This window comes from Homo sapiens, chromosome 4 (assembly GCF_000001405.40).
Source record: "Homo sapiens chromosome 4, GRCh38.p14 Primary Assembly".
Classification (NCBI taxonomy): domain Eukaryota; kingdom Metazoa; phylum Chordata; class Mammalia; order Primates; family Hominidae; genus Homo; species Homo sapiens.
The window spans coordinates 22,400,775-22,424,469 of record NC_000004.12 but is presented as its reverse complement, the minus strand read 5'-3'; the positions used below and the strand labels follow the sequence as shown (position 1 = coordinate 22,424,469).

The window sequence follows — 23,695 nt, the reverse complement described above, 5'->3', positions numbered from 1 at the left end:
TTCTCATGTGGAATTTGAGACTGAAGGCCAATCTCACTGTCCATTAGGATTTTGATTCTACGAAATAGTTTATGGTGGTTTTAAAGATCTTTCTTTTTTCTCCTGAACCCCTGCTAGCTAGGTGACGTGATGGTTGACATTGCAAGTAACATCATGTTGGCTGATGAACGTGTCCTGTGGCTGGCGCAGAGGGAAGCTAAAGCCTGCAGTAGGATTGTGCAGTGTCTTCAGCGCATTGCTACCTACCGGCTAGCCGGTGGAGCTCACGTTTATTCAACAGTAAGTGTAACATTATCATAGACTCCTGAGAAAAAAAGTGCATTTCACACAGCTCTCACCCGAAAGAGATAGGTGTCTTCTCCATTATGGGGTGGATATCTTCTCTTACTGCTGATTATTACAGAATTTCTTCTTAACATTTTATAAGTTATAACATTTTATAAGTTATTACAGAATTTCTTCTTAACATTTTATAAGTTATAACATTTTATAAGTTATTACAGAATTTCTTCTAACATTTTATAAGTTAATTTTGCTTTTGAGTAATGTTTTCTTGGGAACTGGAAAATACTTTCTTAATCTTTAATTTGAATGTTTATCACCATCTAATCCACCGAAAGTGTTTCTGCAATGGAAAATAAGAACACTATTGTATTGCCCCACTGGCACATACCCATAGTCCATCTGAGCCTAATACTCTGTTCTGGGCCCTGAAGGATATTTTGAGAGAATATCTGATTGTTTGCCCAGGTTTCAATCTCAGAAGAGAACTGGGATGCCTTCCAACACTTGTGAAGCTATTGGCATTTTCAGTCAATCCCACTCTTGGGATAATGACTTATTAATAAATAATGATCACTCAATTACATAGTATTAAATTTTATTTATGATAAATTGAACAGTTGTAAATTTCTTGATATACTGCTTACTTTTTCGTCCTAAAAAGGTGGTGAATACAGTAAATAATGTGATATTTCCTTAGCAATCATAGTTTGATCTGGTCCATGATTTTCATTTCCTAATTATTTTACTGGGCTGACATAGTGTAGAATATTCTACACTTCCTCCTGTGATTTTACACAATTCAAGATTGCTATTTTCCTGTTGATCTCTGAGACCTTTTTTAGATGTTACCATGTTTTATTGCTCCCTTTGCTCAATTAAGTTTAGTATTTTCTTTTTGGAATAATAAATGGAGTCTCAGCATGGCTACTGTCTTTGTTTTTTGTTGCTGTGGTTTCTTTTTTTTTCAATATTTATTTATTTATTTTTGGGGGGATGGAGTTTTGCTCTGTCACCCGGGCTGGAGTGCAGTGGTGTTATCTTGGCTCACTGCAGCCTCCGCCACCCGTGTTCAAGCAGTATCATGCCTCAGCCTCCTAAGTAGCTGGGATTATAGGCAAGCACCACTATGTGTGGCTAATTTTTGTATTTTTAGTAGAGACGGGGTTACATTACGTTGGCCAGGCTGATCTCGAACTCCTGATCTCAAGCTATCCACCCGCCTCAGCCTCCCAAAAGTGCTGGGATTACAGGCGTGAGCCACCGCACCTGGCTAGGTCACTGTGTTTGTAATGTAAGTCAGTGGAGTTTCCCTCTCAGATTCATGACCTCAGTTGAGACTAGCTTGTCATATTTATGTCCACCTCCGCCATTTAGATCCATTTTAAATCTCATCCTTTAGCCATGCTTATTAATCAGCTGAAAGAACTTCCCCCCTTTCTCTGAACTGCATTCGTTTTTCTGACAACCCAAGGGTACAATAAAGGTCATAGTAGGAATTTGCATACCATCTCTATGTGTAAACAAAGTTCCAGGAGATGATACATCTATGTATAATAAGTAAAATGATATGGCTTCACAGGTGCCTCAAAATGACAGATTTCTTTCAACCAAGGTTTCATGTGTTGGGCCTAATGACTGCTGCTTGTCAGAAGATCTGGTGGTTGTTTACATGTGTCTTTGACTAGCAAAAAATTAGAATACACATTATTAACAAATAAGTTGAATTAAAAAGACTTTTCACTGTGTTTACATTGTGAGGCAAAAACTAATACAAAGATTCTTTATGCTTGAAAAGTTTGGGAACCACTAATTATTTTCTCTCACATGCATAAGACTTGCCAAATTTTACTTTACTTTTTGTATTTTTAAATTTGTATCTTATTTCCTAATAGATTGTAAGCATCGTGCATCAAAATTTCATACTTTAAAGAAAAAGACATCCATATGTGATACGTAGAATGGTGCCTTGCCTGTGGGATAGGCATATACTTAATCATCCTTAAAGGAGGGAGATGCCATGTTGTCCCTAGAATTTACGGTAAATCCTGTCACTCTGCTGGATGTGAAGGTGTGGCTCCTTGTCACTTCTCACGCCCACTCTGTCCTCCAGCGAGTGGGCCTGGTGGCTGTCTGTATTGACAGGTTGTATGTTTTGGTGGTTCCCCTTGGTTCACTTTTGTTCCTGAATTCCTTTAAAACTCTAGGGCAGGTGCCATATTTTTCAGATGATTTTTCTGACCTAATTTGCTTTTCAGATGATTTTTCTGACCTAATTTGCTTTTTTTTTTTTTTTTTTTTTTTTTGGAGACTGAGTCTTGCTCTGTTGTCCAGGCTGGAGTGCTGTGGCACAATCTTGGCTCACTGCAACCTCTGCCTCCCTAAGTTCAAGCAATTCTCTTCCCACAGCCTCCTGAGTCGCTAGGACTACAGGTGTGTGCCACCATGCCAGGCTAATTTTTTGTATTTTTAGTAGAGATGGAGCTTCACCATGTTGACCAGGCTAATTTGATTTTTAAATCTGTCCATTTCCTACTATTTAAATTAACATCTGTCTTCCTTTTCTGAAGAAACAGCTTTGGAGAGTGTGTAAAGCTTTTATTGGTGAAACTTAATGCAAAGAGTTAATGATCTTCCTGTGAAAGAAATAGGTAAATATGGCCAGATGTGTCGAGTGCATTTCCCAAACTAATATTTAGCTCTCATTCTTCCTGTAAGATGAGCATTTAGAGGGTCCACTGATTTCTCTAGCTGAATTTTTTTTCAGGATGCTTCCATTTTTAGCTTGTTGTTTCCTTCGAAGTGCTCCTTAAATTATTTTTAATTGACTTCTTAGACCTGATCTTCTGTACTTCATGACTTCTTCTTTTCCTTTTTTTTGGTCTCCCTTCCATTTTAGGACATCCTTTTCATTCCAGGGTCTGTCTTTCTTTTTTTTTTTTTATTCTGCCAGTTATCTACACAGTGATTTTGTTTAGGAAGAACCTGGGCTTTCTGGTTTGGCTAATGCATAGTGTTTTGTGTTTGAAAAGTCTTTGAAAGTGCTTTTCCTTTGTGCTATAAATCGTTCATAACTCCTGTTTGATTGACTTTTCAAGTATTCACCCAATATTGCTCTGGAAGCTTATGTCATCAAGTCTACTGGCTTCACGGGGATGACCTGTACCGTGTTCCAGAAAGTGGCAGCCTCTGATCGTACAGGACTTTCGGATTATGGGAGGCGGGATCCAGAGGGAAACCTGGATAAGCAGCTGAGCTTTAAGTGCAATGTTTCAAATACATTTTCGAGTCTGGCACTAAAGGTATGTTACATTCTGCAATCATTTAAGACTATTTACAGTTAAATTAGAATGCTCCAAATGTTCTGCTTCGCAAAATAACCTTATTAAAAGATTTTTTTTTTGCAGGAAGATAGGTATTATTGCTTTTGCTACTGTTTTAAAGAAAACTAACCAGGAAGAACTGCATTACGACTTTCAAGGGCCCTAGGCATTTTTGCCTTTGATTCCCTTTCTTCACATAAAAATATCAGAAATTACATTTTATAACTGCAGTGGTATAAATGCAAATATACTATTGTTACATGTGAAAAAATCTTATTTGACTTAAAAGTTTATTTATTTGTTTTTTTGCTCCTGATTTTAAGACAATAAGATGTTTTCATGGGCCCCTAAAAGTATCATGAGCCTTTGGCACTGCGCCTGCCAAGCCTAGTGGAGAAGTCAACCCTGAGACCAGGTGTTTAATCAAGCAAGCTGTATATCAAAATTTTTGGCAGAAAACACAAATATGTCATATATCTTTTTTTAAAAAAAGTATTTCATTGAAGCAAGCAAAATGAAAGCATTTTTACTGATTTTTAAAATTGGTGCTTTAGATATATTTGACTACACTGTATTGAAGCAAATAGAGGAGGCACAACTCCAGCACCCTAATGGAACCACATTTTTTTCACTTAGCTTTCTGTGGGCATGTGTAATTGTATTCTCTGCGGTTTTTAATCTCACAGTACTTTATTTCTGTCTTGTCCCTCAATAATATCACAAACAATATTCCAGTCATTTTAATGGCTGCATAATAACTGATCCAACAGGTGTTAGGTGTTCTGGTTTAGTGTGAGCACTCAATAAATATTGAATGAATGAACGAATTAGTGTATTTTTGTATACTTTTTCTTGGTGACCACCATTAAAGAGAGCCAATTGGCTAAATTTAGAAAATCCCAACTGCCCAAGAAAATCTCAACTAGGTCAAAATGTCTGATAATAATATATTTACTTGATACCCTATACTCAGAGGAAAATTGGCAAGATTTGCCTGTTAATATTGGCGCTAAGAGAGTATTTGATGCACTGTGCCACACTCCTTTGGACCTGCTCAACTTTCCTTATTGTGTCTTATATTGGGGAAAAAAACAAAACAAAACAAAAAAACCACAAACATACTATAAAAGACTAGAAACAGCAACACAGAGAAACCCATGAGAGAAAGGTGTGTTTTTTGAGGAATACTTAAAATTGATGAACACTTCTGTCTTAGATGATCACAGTTGGTAGAAAGGGATTAAAAATGACGAAACCCTACATTTCATCAATTTCACAACCTACCCCTCTGGGTAAGGAGAGTTTCTACTTGCTAAAGTAGAAGGCTTTAGATGGACACTCAGATTTGTCAATTTCATGCCATTCTATCCTTTTAAGATCATCCTGTGGCCAGAGAGCAAGGACACATTACACTATTATTCATGCTTCATAGGTGGACACGATTAAACTGAATGAAAAAGGAACATATCCCTCGTGACAGAAAATTAGTTAAAAATTCTAATGTTAATGGCATAAAATGTGGTTAAGCTTTAGCGCTTGAACAAAAAACTAACTTTACATTTTACATTTTATACTAGGGCAGTTTTTGCTCTTTCTTTGCATCCTTTTTTTTTTTAATCCCTTGAATATACTAACTAGAAAACCTGAACATCCAGAAACTGATTGCACTGCCTTTAAATGGGAGCATATGCTGGTGTGTGAAGTTAAACCCATAAAGAGGCAGTCATTATTTAGCAGTAGGTGCCTCCTTGATTTGCTTCCTGCATATTTCAGAATCTCTGTCCTTCCCTCTATACTCCCTCCTCAGCCTGCTTCGGACTCCCATCCTGTATTGCACAAACCACGGTAACTTTGAGTCTCTGTGTCTCTAGGCTGGCTCTTCAGCTAACATGTATCACTACAACGATGCCACTTAGTAAAATATTGAAATACTTCCTTACTATTTAGCAAATAGCTGCTGCCCCAGTTCTCTGAGTGCTTCCTCAGCCCTCCTGCTTCTTCTGTTGGGACCACCACCCAGACCTCTCTTTTCACCATTTCACACCTGAAGGCCTGGTGCCTGCAGAACAGGAGGCCTCTGGGAGCCTTCCCTTCTGTGCAGGCTGTTCTGATTGTCAATGCCTGTGCCATTTCAGGTTGTTAATGTTGTGGGCATTCTACCTGGATCCTCCCCAAATGGAAATTGACCTTGTGCACCCCTTCATAAATGTCTCATGTCTCTCCAGAGACTGTTCAGTAGCTTTATCATTTGACGTCTTCCCTCTCTCTCCACAGTACTTCCCACCTCTCCCTTTTATCCAGCAACAGCAAACTTTCCTTGGTTCCTCTCCCTACTACCTGGTCATTCTCAAGCAGGCTTGTGCTAATTCTCCTACTCGAATCCCTACTCCTCCCCTCCCTTCCCAGCTCCTTGGTGATAACACCCAGCAGAAATGTCACTCCAAGAAATTTTGCCTAATCTCATTCAGTTCTCCACTCCCACCCTTGTCTCCTTTATTTTTCTTCCCGTTTTTCCCATAATGCCTTGTTCATCTCTCTCTCATTGCCTGTCACATTTGGGAGCCTGAGAATCAAGATGGGTTTCTTGGTTGCCTGAGGGCAGGCCTAGTGCTGGAATCACCAGTGACTTCATACCTGGCTTCAGTTGGTCACCAGTTGGTGACAGAGCTGCCTGATACTTGTCTCTTACTGACAGCATCTATCAAATCTCTTCCAATTTTTTCTCAATGAAATGTTTCCTTTCACTGTGGATACCATAACTCAGATATGTTAGCATAACAAAATAGTATCTGTTTTCAGTAAACTACTTTACTTTTACTGAGGGCTTTGGAAATAAGCTGGTGTTTTGAGTTCAGGTGTAATGTAGCCAAAAAGGAGAAATAATTAATTCTTTATACTTCACCTGACTAGAATTTAGAAATCAGTTTTTCTTTACACATCCCAGACATCTAGAGCTTCAGTCCAGCTGAAGTCTCATGAATTTTTCAGGCTAGTCATTATGCATCTTCTTGCTTCCTGCCTTCGTTTTTGCACTTTTCCAGTCCATCCCTGCTTGGTGAAATTCCTGCTACTCTCCCTTTAAAACTGCCTTTGGATTCTTCCTTCTCTTCTTCAGACAGAATTAACCATTGCCTGTTAATCCCGTTGTGCTTTGTTCATTCTTCAGAATAATTATAAGGTGATACAGTGGTGGAGCGAGCTGCAATGAGAGGCCATATGATACAGTGACTAAGACTGTGGTCTCTCTGTAGCCAGACAGTCTGGGTTCAGGTTCTCTCCCCAACTTAACAGCTGTGCAAATGTGGGCAACTACCTTAACCTTTCTGAATGTCAGTTTCTCGGCTGTTATGCAGATTATGAAATGGTCCTTAACTCGAAGGGTTGTTGAGAGGATTAAGTGAGGTAAATATGTAGACATTCACCACAGTGCCTGGCACAGAGTAAGCACTCAGTAAGTATTAGCTCTTACTGTTTTGTTGCTGTTGTTATCTCTCCTTTGTTAGACTATGAATTTTGGGGGACAGGGACCACAGCTTATTTATTGCATTTTATGTCTCCAGGCTCTGCATAGTTCCAAGCCCAGAGTAACTAAACATTCAATAAATGTCGAATAAAATTAACAGCCAAACTTAATTAGCAAACAAAGTCAGTTAAAAAATTAATTCTAAAGTCAAATGTAATTGCTGTTAATCTTCAGTGAGAAACTCAAAAGGTGGTATGCAGTTAATAATTATACACAAGAAAATAATTAGGAGATATTATAGCATCTGTCTGTTTAAAGTCAAGTAAGTGGTCAAGAAAACATAGATAAATTAGTATTTTATTGTTTTGAATCAGATGTTTCTTTGGCTCATTCTGATTTTCATGTTAGAATACTGTAGATTTTAACCCATAAAGATTTCTGAAAATTTTATTAACTACATAGTGGAGGAAGTCCAGATTTTTTGATAAGGAAAGATGTTAAGATGTAGTGAAAGTATTGGAATTAACCTCCATTATGCTTATCATTTTCCTTTTAGCTTAGTGTCATTGTAAATAGTGAAATATAGATGAATTTAGCAAAAAAAAGCAGCTGTGTGGTAACAGTCATTTCTTGTGTGTTCATATTTCATCAATTTTTAGTGTTAAAATGAACACTGAAACTGAATGGTAGAAGTCAAAACATGATGACGTTCTAGATTATTCTTGGCAATTTAGTTAAGGCATTTCCTCTCCCCCAGTCCCCAGATAACCATCTTCCACTGTGCTGCAGTAACAACAGTAAAAAATACCACCGACAGTTCCCTAGACTTTTGTGCTTGTCATGGTCCTGATCCCATCTGGTCCTCACAACCATTTGTTACAAAGATGATTAGCTGTGTTTGACAGATGAGACTCAGAGAGGTTAAACAAAGTCGTGCAGTGTTAACCAGCTGCTAAGTGGTGAGGCTGGAACCCAAATCCTTTATTTCAGATCTCATGTTCTCTACATGGTATATGATTTTTCAATAGTAAATACTGGAAACCGAAAACTTGTTTTTCCCAAAGGATCTTAAGAGAGATTTTTCTACTTTATTACCTCTCATTCGTGTGTTTGTTATCTGTTTCCATTGATATAATCCATATATTTTAAAATAAATGTATGGTTAAATGAACTTACAAACTTTGTGCTTGCCACCCTCGGGCCAGGTGGAAGAAGGTATATTCATGATAAATGCACCAAATGAAGTAAGTGTTTTGCGGTGACTAATAGATTTACAACCTTTCTGTAAATAATGATCAACATTTCTTTTAAAGAAATTAAATACACAAGTATTCCATTGTTAGTATAAAAGTCTAAACATTATTGATACGGCTGAAGTTTACCTTATCGGCACCCTAGGCCACTCTCTATATCTCAGGGAACCTGCAGTTATTATTTAGTAATGTTTGTATTGGACTTGGAAGGATATTTTAGAAGCCTTAAATATGTAACAGCCATGAGTATATAGCTCTGGTTACCCAGTAATATGTCCATACTCCTGGTTTTTTGTACATTGTTTTTTTTTTAATTGGTTCTACAGATTTAAACTTGTGTAGGAGACCTTTTCTAACTTCTAGAAAGTATAGATGTTATTCCCTATTTTAACTTTCTTTTAAAAAATGTAAATGATTTGTTTTAAATCAATTTGATTTATCGTTACTAATACTTCCCCAAAGAGCCATGCTTTGTTTTCAAGTCATTTTGTGTGTATAACGATATTATTTTATGAATTTTATAGTACTTGAGTTTTAATAAATGTGCATTATGTAATACTTTATCACGATTTTGAACTTTTAACTAATCTGTTTTCTCTCTTTGCATGTGTCATTATGTACTTAGGAGAAATTTGTGTACTTAATGGAAATCTAGATTAGTGAATAAATTTATAATATTTTTCACATTAGATTATATTTGTGAGTGAGAATAGCAGGAACCTTTTTATGCGTCTTCTCAAAATATTTCTACTAAATATTTTCTTGGCATCTTCAATTTAAAAGTAATATACAAACATCTAAAATACTTACATTGAAAAGATATTTATGGGTATCTGCTGTGATCTAACATCATTAATTCTAAAGTCAATCATTTGCTTAAGTAGAATTGTTTTTAAAATAAACATGCCATACAGACATTGTTCATTTCACAAACAGTGGATTATTTTGATCAAATGCAAGTGGTAGGAACTATTAACATAGAGGTTTCAAAAAGTGAGTGAGATTGACTGCACCCCAAATCCTCATACTCTGGCTTGAGGAGCAGACAGTGAGCTACATCATGGGGGACTGCAAGTGTGTATTATGACTAATGTGTGCAGAGTGTTGTGTGAGTCCAGAAGAGGAAGCAGCTAATCTGAAGATGCAATATACTGAGGAGATGCAATTAACTGTCCAAAAAAGCCCTGTTTCAAGGACTCTGTATAAAGTCTTCCCCCTGGCTGCCAACGTTTTTCATTCTAATCCACTTTCCGTTACACCAATTCAAAAGTTTGTGAGATGAAAGAATAGTGGAGCATTTCAGGTAGAGATGCTGGTCTGTGCAGTGAGCATGGTGGCATAAAAAGAATATAGGAGAACTTAAATTGATAACTCAGTGTAGCTGTGTTTTAGGTTGTGCTATAGGAGCATTCAGGGGATACATCTGAGCAATAGATTTTCATCAAATTATATGGTGAACTTAGGATTTGGGCTTAGTATTAAACATTGCAAAACCAAGGTGTTATTTAAACTGGAATAACATGATTCGATTTGTTTCTTAAGGGGAAATTCCGGTGAATATGGAATTAGAAGAAGAGAGGTTAGAAGCCAAGAAAAAGATTGTACAATAAATTCTTCAACTATGGAATGTTTTTAGATGGTTAATTGTTCACTTCTTTGGTATATATATATTTTTTACTGAATGCTGAATAATTTGTTATTTAAAAATCCTCAATAAAGAAATCTGAAAAAATTCAGTGATCAGTCAGCATTTTCAGTTGTTCCTATGTGTTATTATTTTTTTTTTCTAAATGTGTTTCCTAGTCTCAAGGAAATTTCTGCTAAGTGTACTGAATCTAAACCTCTATTATGTTTGTATAATTTCATTCTTTTGTTGTGTGGAGGTTTGAATTCATCATAAATCACCTTAAAGTTCCATAAGCCCAAATTAATTATACTCATATTTATGATATGCTACATTTGTGCTTCTTTATCATATTTTATCATTGTAAAATTGATACAGCCTGATCATTGAGATCCTTGATCTGTTTAATGCTATCTACTTCAACATATAATATCATGGGAAAATTAACTTTGTTAATTTGAAACACTTTTCTTGTTTACTTATTTAACTCTTTAAAGTTTGCATTTCTGTTTTATACTTCTTTTAATCTATGTTATGTGGTGTTGACATTTCGCTTGACTGATGATTTTTTTAACTGTTAAATTTTGTATATCCAATTTAAAAAATGAAGTCAACCTAATTATACCACTTTTGTAACTATCTGACATATTTTTTTCTGGTTTCTATGTACTAATGTAGTGAGCTTTTTTTATGTATATATATTTTTTCAGAATACTATTGTGGAGGCTTCTATTCAGCTTCCTCCTTCCCTTTTCTCACCAAAGCAAAAAAGAGAACTCAGACCAACTGATGACTCTCTTTACAAGCTTCAACTCATTGCATTCCGCAATGGAAAGCTTTTTCCAGCCACTGGAAATTCAACAAATTTGGCTGATGATGGAAAACGACGTACTGTGGTTACCCCTGTGATTCTCACCAAAATAGGTTTGTATGTGGCATATGTTATCCTGTAGTCAGTGGACAATAAGGCCTTGTAGTTGACTGTTCCTAAAAATGCTTATTTTAGTGTTTTCTCGTTTTAATGAGTCACTAGTGAAGAAAGATCTTGCAGAGTACCCATTACTGTAGAAGTTGACATTTATAATTGGTTATGAAGTTTGTTTCAGAAATATTTTTATTTCCCATTTTCTCCAGATGGTGTGAATGTAGATACCCACCACATCCCTGTTAATGTGACACTGCGTCGAATTGCACATGGAGCAGATGCTGTTGCAGCCCGGTGGGATTTCGATTTGCTGAACGGACAAGGAGGCTGGAAGTCAGATGGGTGCCATATACTCTATTCAGATGAAAATATCACTACGATTCAGTGCTACTCCCTTAGTAACTATGCAGTTTTAATGGTATGGCAGTTGTTAACTTTATGCATAAACACTATTCTACATTTTTGCTATGCATAATTAAGCTCAAATGAAGTGTTTTTTTGTTTTTTGTTTTTTTTTTTTTTTTACTTTTAACATAATTTGCTCCCTTTGATTATATGAGATGATATGTGTTCTAATTTTGATTTTAAAGGGAAATTAAGTTACTACCAAGTGAAATGTATGGGATTGAGTTTGGTATATAGGAATTTTAAATCAACTTTATAAGTCAATCAGTTCAGTTAGTCTTTGACCTTAAAACTTGGAGAGACTGTTGATGCAGATTCCCTCTGCCCAGAAAGAGTGATTTCATTTGCCGAAGGATACACAGTGAGTAGTGAAAGAACATTTTCCTACTTTGCAATCTAGCGCTGTTTCCCACTACATGTCGTAATTGTTAGACTCTATTTAAATTTAGAATTAATCATGATAATTTCATTTTTGTCATTGCAAGTGACAGTATTGACACAAAGAATGTCTTTTCAGTTTTAATGCCAGTCTAGTGTTGTTTTCTGTTATTTGCCGTTGTTAACACTAATTACAGGTTGAGTCTTATCTCTTATCTGAGATGCTTGGGACTAAAAATGTTTTGGATTTTGGATTTTTTCAGATTTTGGAATATTTGCATTATCACTTACCAGTTCATCATTCCTAATCCAAAAATCTGAAATCCTCCAAGGAGCATTTTCTTTGAAAAGTTTTAGATTTTGGAGCATTTTGGATTTAGGATTCTTGGGTTAGGGATACTCAACCTGTAATTTTTGGGGGGTAAAATAACAGTTATTAATGTACAGGAGCAAGTGTTTTTATTAATGAGGTCTTTAAGTGAATCTGACGTCTGAGCAGATAATTATGAAATAAACCATGCTAGTTCTTATTTTATATTGTAATTATTATAAATACTGACATCAAGGAGTATATTTAGAGTACGGTGGAAGGAATTACTGACGAGTGTGAAAGACATTTCCCAGAAATGGTTTGAGGTTACTCTGGGTGTGAGGAACTTCTATGTTATTTCTGATTCCAGCTGTAAATCTGTTTTCTAGAAAATGTTTTATCAAAGTGCTAAATACCTTGAAACATGATATATTTTACATTTCATGAATTTTTCTTTTCTTAAAAAAATAGCATTTAGCACTAGAAATGATCTTGAAGTAAACCTGAATTATAAATAATTTTCTTTGACTCTTGTATGTTTTTTTTTGTTGTTGTTGTTGTTTCAATTCAACTTATACCTTACCTGGTACACAGGTCAAGCAAGCAGAAAGGTGAATAGATTATTTATCAGAGTAAAGGGATTATCTTTTCATTGACATAATTGAGCATTTTATACAAGTGCAAGCAACATATTTAAACATGTATGTTTATAGACTCGGCTATATTTGTATATTTGTATATATAAAGGACCTTTATTCAATTGGGATTAACTTTAGTGTTGACAGTTTATGATTCTGATTCTCTTTGTAAATGGAAGATGTCTTGATTTCTGTAAGCATGAGTCTGGTTTCTATAAGTTCACATTTTATTATTGTGTAGTCAACTTATATTTATTTTTTGTTTTTTTGAGACAGAGTCTCACTCAGGTTGCCCAGGCTGGAGTGCAGTGGTGCAATCTCGCCTCACTGCAGCCTCTACCTCCCAGGCTCAGGTGATTCTCTTACCTCATCCTCCTGAGTAGCTGGGATTACAGGCAGGCACCACCAAACCCGGCTAATTTTTGTATTTTTAGTAGAGACTGGGTTTTGCCATGTTTCCCAGGCTGGTCTTGATCTCCTGGACTCAAGTGATCTGCCTGCCTCAAGCTCGGAAAGTGCTGGGATTATAGGCATGAGCCACTGCCACCTTTTAAATTAAAGCATGAAGCGTTAAAGTATGTGGCATTTTCTCTTCCATTTTGAAAGTGTTTTCTCATTCAGTTTTGAATATAAAATAAACTGTGATGTACTGATGAGAAATAATATTCAACATTGTCAGAAATTTATAAGTTAACAAGAAAAAATTGAGCAAAATAAATGAAACACAAAACATACACAAAAATGCATTTTATAAGCCTTCGCTGTGATATTGCACCATGTGAAACTTTTATTTTTATTTAGTCTAATACCAGTTTAAAGCATCTATTTGTGAACTTCCTAGCTGTTCTTCAAAACTATTAAATTAGTATAATCCTTTTCTGGAAGGAATAAGCTATTCTTTTATCTTTCAGACTTTTAATCTCTTAAAAAAATGTAATACACAATTCTTTAAAGTTAAAATACTGTAGTACTAAGATTTTTTTTCTATTTATTTTCAAAGACTTTTTCCTTTTCTTAAATGTAATTGTGCCATCTAGAGGCAGCAAAGAGAAATGTATTTGAAATTGTTGACAAAATTAAAGTTACTGCATGGGAGTTAGTTGCTAATTAAACATAAAGAAAAAGTTAATGAAATTATACCCACTTTTAGGTAAAGTTATGTTTAGGATTGAAAAAATTGTTTTTAAAAAATTAGAAAGCAAATTAGAAAGCAGTGTCTTTTTTCCTTATATTAAGCTTTTAAAAATTGATAAAATCCTATGTCTCTTGAATACCATCTTAATATATCCTTTTATATAGTAAGTCTAAATTCCTATCTTGGGATATAGTCCATAAAACTTTCCTTTATCTGATTTTAAGAGTTTTGAATTTTTAAAAAATGCGACATAAAGAATATACTTGTTCATAAATCTGAGTATACATCCTGCTATACCAGTTATTTACTAAGGTCTCATTGGGAGCCAGAAAAAAAAATTAAGCAGAAATTAGGTTTGCTTGAATGATATGATCTGGAATAGCCAGGTGGGGCAGGAAGATTCACAGGAGCTGGTGTCTGTAGGAAAAAACAAAGAAAGAAAACTGAATAGAAAGTAGGGTTATGATTAGGTTCAAACTATGTAGTGCTTAATACTTTAATCACTAGTGGTGAAGATAAGCTAATTTATATACATTGATTCCTCTTTTGTTGTGTTCACCTAAAAATATGAAACTAGAGAGCATTCATTAATTTTCTTTTTCTAGTGATTCTTTTACATTTGTTTATATAAAACATGCTGAATACCATCTTAATATGTCATTTTATAGATTAAAATGGTATTCAAAGCAACTTTGATATCATTTACTCTATAATTGAACATAAATGCTAGTGATGTTTTTGTTTAAATAATTTTAAAATAAGTACTATACTCACATGGATGTAATGTTTTATTTATTTCTACACATTAACATACAGTGAAAGCTGGAAGTCCTACCTATCTCTCGTATCACACTGATAAGTAACTACTGTTTGTTTCTCGCGTATTGTTGAGGAGACCCTCGTGTTTATGGAAACAAAAATGAGTATATGTTCCTATTTTTTTGCATTTTTGCACAAAGGTTGCATACTACACACACTGTTCTAAACCGTGCTTTTTTCTGTAGAGCAACATTTCTTAACTATGATGGTGATAATGTATCTTAAAGAAGAGGATGGTGATGGTGGTAGTGGTGGCCAATCTTTATTAAGCACTTATGTGTCAGCCACTCCTCTGATGTCTTTATATACATTCAGTTACTCAGCTCTTATAACAGCCTCATGAGAAATAGTACTGTCATCACCCCCACTGTACAGATGTGGAAACTGAGGCAGAGAGAGGTTAAATGCCATGCTCACAAAGCTAGTGCTGGTATTGGGATTTGAATTCACAGTCTCATTTTGGGATCTGTGTTAATAATCCCTCTGCTAAGTCTCCTTTCTGAAATCCTCTCAATATACGAGTTTCCTCATTCTTTCTTATCTCTGAATATTATGTTTCTACCATAATTTATTTAGATATTTCTCTATTGTGTTTGTTTCTAGTGGTTTGTACAGTGTCATTTTGCACATTTAATTGAGCATCTGTGAGACAAATTCTCCAAAGTGGAATTGATAATCAAAGGGACCAACTGGTTTAAATTGAGGTATTGAGCAAAGTGCACAAATATTGGTTATATTTTTACAAAAGAATGTATAAGAACAAGATTTGTAGTAGAGTGCTGGACAGTGCTCCTGTGTTTCTCTCTAGTCAGTTCCTGCCACCATCTCCAGGAACCACCCTTTTGATGTCTCTCACTATAGATAGGTTTGGCCTGTTTTTAGACTTTAGTTGTGTAGTATGTACACTTGTGTCAGGTTCTTTCCTGTCATTACATGGTTGGAATTTATCTTCATTTTTGCATTTAGCAGCAGTTTATTCTTTTCCATTGCAGTGTAGCAGTCCATTGTATCAATATGCCAAAGTTTGTTCATTTTATCATTGATAGCCATTTCTGTTTCTAGGTTTTGGGTGTCAAGAAAAAGCTGCTGTGAGTACTCATGTATATGTTTTATGATGGACATGTACACTCAGGAGTGAAATTGCTAGATTGTAGGCTTTCCATGTGTTTAGCTTTAAGTAGCTAAAGCCATGCAGTTGACCAAAGTGGTTATGTTGGTTTACAGTCTCAACAGTAATGAGAGTTCCAGGTGCTCTACATTTTGACCATGCTTGGAATTGTCAATCTTCAGTTTTAGTCTTCTGGTGGTAGTGTTGTGATGTATCATTCTAGTTTTAATTTGCATTTCTCTGGTGACTATTGATGTTGAGCACTTCTTTAGCTTTTTATTGGCAGTTTGGATATCCCCTTTTCCTGACGTTCCTGCTCAAGTCTTGCCTATTTTTAATTTTGTTGTCTTTCATTTTCTTAATTATTTATAGGACTTCTTAATATGGGTACTGAATATGAGCTCCCTGTTGGATTTATGTGTTGCATACATCTTCTCCCAGTTCATGCCTTTTTTTTTCCTCAATATTGTCTTTTTATGAACAGAGTTTCTTAAATTTTCTGAAGTACAATTTCTTGGTTGTTGTTGTTGTTTTAGTTAATGCTGTTTAAGAAATTTTTCTACCCCAAGATTATGAAGATCTTCTTTTTTGTTCTCTTCAGAAGCTTTAATATGTTTTACCTTTTATATTTAGTTCTGTAATTTGACTGGAATTGATTTTTTGTTGATGATGTGAGGTAGGGAGAATAAAATCTTTAAATTTGTATTCTTTGTTCCTTAGTGGGGAAAAAGCAACATAGAAGTAAGTCATAGTCGTCTTTTAACATTTTTGTTTTTTTACATTTCTGATTTCAATCTATTTTAAAATTTTAATGGTAAACTCTTATTATAATTCTTTATTCCCTTACACACAGGATGCCCTGATATATTTTCTTTGGATTCCTTTCCATTGTTCAGATCCTGGTACTTAGACAATTGCTTATTTTAATTATTCTTATTGATACAGTGATAATTATGGAAAATGTCCACTGATTTTATATTCAGTAATTCTGAGGCCTGAAGTAACACTTGTAAATATATGAATCTCTGACAAGTAAACAGTTCTAAAAACTTTTTCCATTGATTTGAATCCTTAGTAATGATCATCTTTGTGATTTTTTAACACACATTTGATGTTTAATTTCTCTGTATTAGTTCAGCTAACTTCTGTGGAGAACTTTATTTTTCATTTCTTGGCTTAGTTATTAAAGTTTGTACTGAGTAGAAGAGGAACTAAGATTACTATTTAGTGATGGACTGTGGTCATGTGGTTGCTGGAGGGCAGAGTCATTTTCTATTTTATTTATTACTGTGTTGCAAATGTGAGCAACAGTTTTACTTTTTCTACTCAAAGGTGTCTCATACCACCATTTTTATATAGTGTGTTTAGTAATGTTTTTGTTATCATAAAGCCTATATTTATTTACTACCATAATTGAAAATAATTTGATTCAGGTTTCTGCTTTCTCTCTCTCATTGTAGAGCTTTAACTTGTTTACTATCCTGGTATTCTAAAATTCTCAATTGCCGTAAATATTTTTATATTCTTTTTCTTTTTGAGGCGGAGTCTTGCTCTGTCGCCCAGGCTGGAGGGCAGTGGCTTGATCTCGGCTCACTGCAAGCTCCGCCTTCCAGGTTCACGCCATTCTTCTGCCTCAGCCTCCTGCGTAGCTGGGACTACAGGCACCCACCACCACGCCTGGCTAATTTTTTGTATTTTTAGTAGAGACGGGGTTTCACTGTGTTAGCTAGGATGGTCTCGATCTCCTGACCTTGTGATCCACCCGCCTCGGCCTCCCAAAGTGCTGGGATTACAGGCGTTAGCCACTGCGCCCGGCCTTATATTCTTTTGTATTGCCCAATCTAGCCAGATTTTTTTAAAGGTGGGAAAGCTAATAATGGCTTTTAATATTTTTTTTTTAAGGTGGGAAAGCTAATAATGGCTTTTAATTTTTTTAGTGGTTCTGTTTTACATGGTTAATACTACCTGCATAACAGCTTTAATTTGCCTCTTGGCCCCCAAAGTCTACAATGTTTACTATCTGGCCCTTTATACTATGCTTTTCCCTAGGTTCATTTTTCGGCAGGAGACCTCTTTGCGTGTGGGCAGGTCAAAAATGCTCTTGTGGGATTAATAACAGAATAATAAGGAACTGAAACAACTCAACATAAAAAATTTTTGATTTAAGAAATGGGCAAACGATCGGACTAGATACTCTGAAAAGAAGACATACAAATGACCAACAGGTGTATGAAAAAATCTCACAATCACTAGTCATCAGGAAAATACAAATCAAAACCACAATAAGATACCTTACCCCAGTTAAGTGGTTTGTATCAAAAAGACAAAAAATAACAGAATGTGGAGAAGAGAACTCTTATACATTGTTGGTGGGAATGTAAATTAGTACAATAATTATAGAAAGTAGTTTGTAAGTTTCTTGAAAAACTAAAAATAGAGCTACCGTATGATCCAGCAATTTCACTGCTGAGTATATATTCAGAAGAAAGGAAATCAGTATATTGAAGAGATACCTGCGCTCACATTTACTGCAGCACTATTCACGATAGCCAAGATAAACAATCAACGTTAAGTGTCCATCAGTCCATCAACAGACAAATGGGTAAAGAAAATATGGTATATATACACCAAGGAGTACTATTCAGTCATAAAAAAAGAATGAAATCTTGTCATTTGCAGCAACATGGATGAGCCTGGAAGTTATTTTGTTAAGTGGAATAAGCCAGGTACAGAATGACAAATAGTGCATGTTTTCACTCATATGTGGGAGCTGAAAAAGTTGATCTCATGGAGGTAGAAAGGAGAATGGAAAATACCAGAGGCTGGGAAGGGAAGGGTCTAGGAAGAGGGGGTGAAGTAAGGTTGGTTAATGAGTACAACCAAGTACAGATGGAATAAATTCTGGTGTTTGATAGCATGGCAGAGTGACTATAGTTATCAAAAATCTATTGCATATTTATTGCATATTTCATATTTCCCAATTTGATTTGGTCATTACACGTTATATGTACGGATCAAAATACTACATGTATGCCATAAATATATACAATTATGTGTCAATAAAAACATGTTGAGAACAAAATGCCCCTGTGGAAGCAGTGCCCTGTGCGACCAGTGACAGAGGTACTCATGCCTTTGTTCAGTCATTGTTGCCCTCTGTTTCAACATCTAGTTTCTTTTTCATTCTGTGTCACATTTGTTTGACTTTTGAAAAATAGCAGTTTCCTTTTAATTTTAATTTAATTTTTTTTTTTTTTTTTAGAAATAGGGGTTTGCTCTGTTGCCCAGGCTGGAGTGCAGTGGCGCAATCTCAGCTCACTGCAGCCTCAAACTCCCTGGCTCAAGTGATCCTCCCACTTCAGCCTCCCAAGTAGCTGGGGTTACAGGCACGCGCCATCATGCCCCATTAATGTTTTTATTTTTATTTTTTGCAGAAATGGGATCTCACTGTGTTGCTCAGGCTGGTTTCAAGCTCCTGGCCTCAAGCAATCCTCCTGCCTTGGGCCTCCCAAAACTCTGAAATTCTAGGCATGAGTCACTGTGCCTGGCCAAAAATAACTGATTTCTTCTAAACTTGAATGCCATATAGAGTATATTTTGAGAACTAAATCGGCTTTTAGTCGAATGTTTTATTCGATGGTATCCAGCTCCCCATATTGTTACTTTCTGCCAAGGGCTATGGGATGCACTTTTACCACCTTTCTTCTACCCCTTCTCCAACCCCCCTAAGATGATTAGAGGAGCCTCCATTTTACAGTGAGGTAACTGCCTCAAGTCTTATAGCTGGTAAGTGGCAACATGTTATTGAACATTTCCTGCAGTAATCTAAAGCAGGCACTGCTACAAAAGGACTTGAGAAGCTAAACTAGATATTGAAAGTTTATCCTCAGTTATTAGTTCTGTACTGGAATAGAAGCTTTTCATTGAATTTGGAGGAAAATATGTCTCTTCTCACTAGCATCTAACTGGTTTTCATTATCCCAACATTTCTTTGAATTTCCCTACTAATATTCTGGACTTTTAACAGAGTGCAACTATTTTGAGGCCATGTATTACAGGCTAGTGTTACGGGCATCTCACAAAGGCAAATTGCTCAGAATTGGTCCTGACACGCTTTTCTCTGGTCTTTTCCCTTTTGTGTACTTAATTTACAGACTGCAGGGCCTCCAAGGGTTGGAACTGTGTTCTGTCTATCCCTGTATATCCATTACTTGGTACTGTGCCTGACCATGGCCGGCACTCAATATTTGTCAAGTAAATGGGTGAATTGTAAGTTAGAGGCTCATCATAGTATAGTTGAGTAGTCTAGCTGGAATTCAGTTTCCTCTGTTCTCATCTCTGCTTCCCACTTACTGTGGTTTTTGTCATTAACTGTTCATCATTTGACAAGGTGAGGAGTTTGTTAGGCATCCTGATACCATCTTTTTAGATCTGTAATTGTAGATTGTGAACTTATGATTCTACCTTGGGAAAATTTGCCCCTTCCCTTCCTACTCTATTGAGGTCATCTTCCATTTCCTTGTCTGGTTGTCACTTATTCTCTTCCTTTCTTTTTTTTAATCTAGCTTTTCTTGTTTCAGATATTTTATTAATAACAGCTTCCTAATTGGAGGTATATCCACTGTGGGCTCCTTCGCTTATTCAGTAGTCACTTTTTAGCTATAAGAGTCAGTGCAGAAAGAGAATTTAGTGAAGGGATGTGGTTCTTACAACCCAGGTTATCTGGCATGGTGGCCAGGGTAGAGGTGTCTTTCCAACTTGCTTTGGTCTTTTATAAAGAGAGTAGCATTAAGATGCCCATTGTTTTCATTTCGGAGAGGCAGTGTCTGCATTGTTTTTGGGAGCAAGGACTTGGCAGCCAAGCTCCTTTGAATCTAATCCTTAAGGCACATAATTTTCTGTGCCTCAGTTTTTTAACATATAAAATGGGGCTAATAACATACTTACCTCATACAGTTATGGTGCTGGACACAGTCAGTGCCTAGATTGTTCACAGTCAATGTCTAATGTTCTATAAGTGACGTGCTGTTATTGCTTATTTATTTTTTTAAATTATTTTTCTTTTGAGAAAGGTTCTCACTATGTGGCCCAGGCTGGAGTGCAGTGGTGCTATCTTAGCTAACTGCAGCCTTGACCTCCTGGACTCAAGTGATCCTCCCAACCTCAGCCTACCGAGTAGCTGGAACTACAGGCGCACACCACCAGGCCTGGCTAAGTTTTTAAAATATATCTTTTGTGGAGATGCAAACTCCCTGTGTTGCCCAGGGTGGTCTCGAACTCCTGAGCTCAAGCCTGCCCACCTCAGCCTCCTAAAGTGCTGGGATTACAGGTGCGAGCCACTGTGCTCAGCCATTTACTGATTTTTGAGCTCTTACAGGGCTCTTCCTCTCTGCTGCCGTAATTGTGCTTGACTTATCTTCATCAAACATTGTTATGATCTGATTGTACATGTGTCTCCCCTGTGATTTTCACCTCTTCAGGGACAGGAACCATGTCTTACCGTTATGTCTCCAATGCCCTATGCAGTGTTTGGTCCGTTTGTATTTGAGGAACTTGAAGTTGAACTTGGCTACGGATAGTTAGGTGTCTTTGGGCTTTGTAGCCTCAGAGATACTGCTCTCATTGTGTCTGATCAGCTAGTGATTATGCAGAGTGATAACTGGGCTTAAAGGGCATTGAAAAGGATGAATTCTGGTTATGCTTTCTGAATTGCCTAAATGTAGGGGGCTGATTTCTCTTTTACCCTCATAGCAGAGTCAATATTTCAATTTATAAAATAGATGGTCCAGTGTAAAATGAGGGTATGCCGTAAGCAGTTAACACCATAGAAGTTAGGAAAGCAAAGTAACATGTTAGGAAAATAGCGTGAAACATTAGTCTGAATAAAATAAAGAGACATAAGGGCCAGAGTTTTTGTTTATTGATGTGTTTTCGTCACTCAAAAAAATCTCAGTAGTTAAATGTGGAGAGAAGTACTGCTAGAATGGATCTTTCTTTTTGCCCTCAGGATTTGACGGGATCTGAACTATACACCCAGGCGGCCAGCCTCCTGCATCCTGTGGTTTATACTACCGCTATCATTCTCCTCTTATGTCTCTTAGCCGTCATTGTCAGTTACATATACCATCACAGGTAAGAAATACATCTCGACAAAATAGATCTGCGGACTTTGATTTGAAGGACTTTATTTCACATTTAATTAGGATAAAATTGAGTTTGTTATCATCCTGTATTTCCAAAGTAAGGATGATGACTTTAGAATATATACATGCCTTCATTTCATGCCATTAGAAACATAAATAATTAGTATTTGAGATGATAAATTCTGTTTTTACAGCATCCAGTCAGTTTGCTGGGTTTGTATCTAGAAAAGAATATGGGCAATAGGTATTGGACACTGTGGGGCGGGTCACAGGCGCAATAGGAGGTAAAGTGAGGCGGAAGTTTCTTACCTGCAGAGGTACCTAAAGGGGTGTCTCTAAGTATCAGACTGTACTATTACTCTTATTTTATGACTTTTTGCCTATTATGATATTCTTTATTTTATAGATGACATTTTTAAGAAAATTTGTGGCATTTAAGCGTGGGATATGTTGTTTGTTAATCGGAGGCAAAGCTATAGAAACTTTTATTTTGTGGTGGGAAATAATGAACTAAAAGGATACGCTAAGCAGAAATTCGCTTTACAAAACGTTTTGCTAGAATGTGTCTTCCTGTTTAAGCTAGACATATATGGCATTTCTTGACATTTAGTTAAGAAACAAAAGGAGATTTTGATATATATTACTAAAAAGAAAGACTTCAACATTTTATTATGAAAGTCCAGGAAGAAATGCATTGAGTGTTTAGACCTGCGCCAGTGGGTCAAAAAAAGACCCATTGGCATCTTGCAGAAATCTCTAGGTGGCCAAGCAGGTAATCCAGTCATCTTAAGACATCGTAGTAACAAAAGCCCATGCGTTTCTTATTGTGGAGAATTTCTTTAGCATTTAGTGGGTGCAGTGGTTCTATAAATGGCTTTTTGTTTTTAAGTGCATAAAGTTAAATGTTAAGAAACGAGATCGAGTTAAATGATGTCTCAGATCTGTGCGTGTGTGTATGTGTGTGTGTGTCTGGTAGTATATGTTTGTTAAATGTTTAAATATCAAATATTTAACTTTTACCTTTGATGAAGTTGGAATTAAGATGAACATCATAGTTTTCTCCTTATGTACTAGCCTGAATATTAATATTTTCTCTCTTTTTTAAACAGTTTGATTAGAATCAGCCTCAAGAGCTGGCACATGCTTGTGAACTTGTGCTTTCATATTTTCCTAACCTGTGTGGTCTTTGTGGGAGGAATAACCCAGACTAGGAATGCCAGCATCTGCCAAGCAGTAAGTCAGAGTGAAAAACCGAAATGGAAAAAATTACTGGTATTAGAAGATAATTTCATTAACTATAAAAAGAAAAAATCATTCTTTAATACCTTTTCTTTAACTGATTAAAGTTAAATTTATTGTCTGTCACTTAAACAATCTGCCAGTTTACTTCCTGTTTTAAATTACCATTTTGCAACTGAATATATAACTTAAACAGCTCATCCCTTTATCATTGGGAATTTAGTGTTACACGTTATGGCTATTATTACAATGCCTGTTACTTATTTTTAAAATGTATGAAATTCTGACTTTGGCTGAAAGAGAAGTGACATTTTCTGATAGTAGAATTTTAAAAATTATTTTATGTGTTGATGAAAACAAAAATTAGAAAAAGAGTTAATCATAAAGATATAAAAATGACACTAGGTTAGATAAATATGAAGAATTTAAAAATATCTTACTCTTTGTTTCCAATAAATTATTACATATGTAGGCTTAGTGAATAGTCTTCTTGCAGCATAAATATAAAAATGGAAATTCTTCAATCTATGAATAGAAAATACGTAACATTTTATTTCTTTGTTTGTATATTTTTTTCACATGCATGATAGCAAGAAGTATAACGTAGTAATTGAAAGTTCAGGCTGCCTGGATTTGGATTTCACTTTACC

General features: G+C 35.8%; 1 protein-coding gene across 6 annotated transcripts in view, besides 1 other annotated feature; it reads left to right on the top strand.

The window, feature by feature from the left end:
* Nucleotides 1-23,695, top strand: part of ADGRA3 (adhesion G protein-coupled receptor A3) — a 128,691-nt gene that overhangs the window by 91,597 nt on the left and 13,399 nt on the right. For all 6 annotated transcript variants that reach the window (XR_007096381.1, NM_145290.4, XM_047449703.1 and 3 more), the window contains 6 exons: nt 118-279; nt 3,381-3,584; nt 10,656-10,869; nt 11,080-11,288; nt 21,671-21,795; nt 22,916-23,039. Coding sequence is in view for 5 of the 6 variants with exons in the window: in NM_145290.4 (NP_660333.2) it covers nt 118-279; nt 3,381-3,584; nt 10,656-10,869; nt 11,080-11,288; nt 21,671-21,795; nt 22,916-23,039 (1,038 nt within the window). In the remaining variant the exon portion in view is untranslated. The remainder of the gene's footprint in view (nt 1-117; nt 280-3,380; nt 3,585-10,655; nt 10,870-11,079; nt 11,289-21,670; nt 21,796-22,915; nt 23,040-23,695) is intronic.
* Nucleotides 7,897-8,097: a silencer, noted in NCBI's record as "peak5007 fragment used in MPRA reporter construct". NCBI's record gives its function as "represses an SCP1 promoter by STARR-seq MPRAs in K562 erythroleukemia cells {active_cell/tissue: K562}" and the evidence as "EXISTENCE:reporter gene assay evidence [ECO:0000049][PMID:32103011]".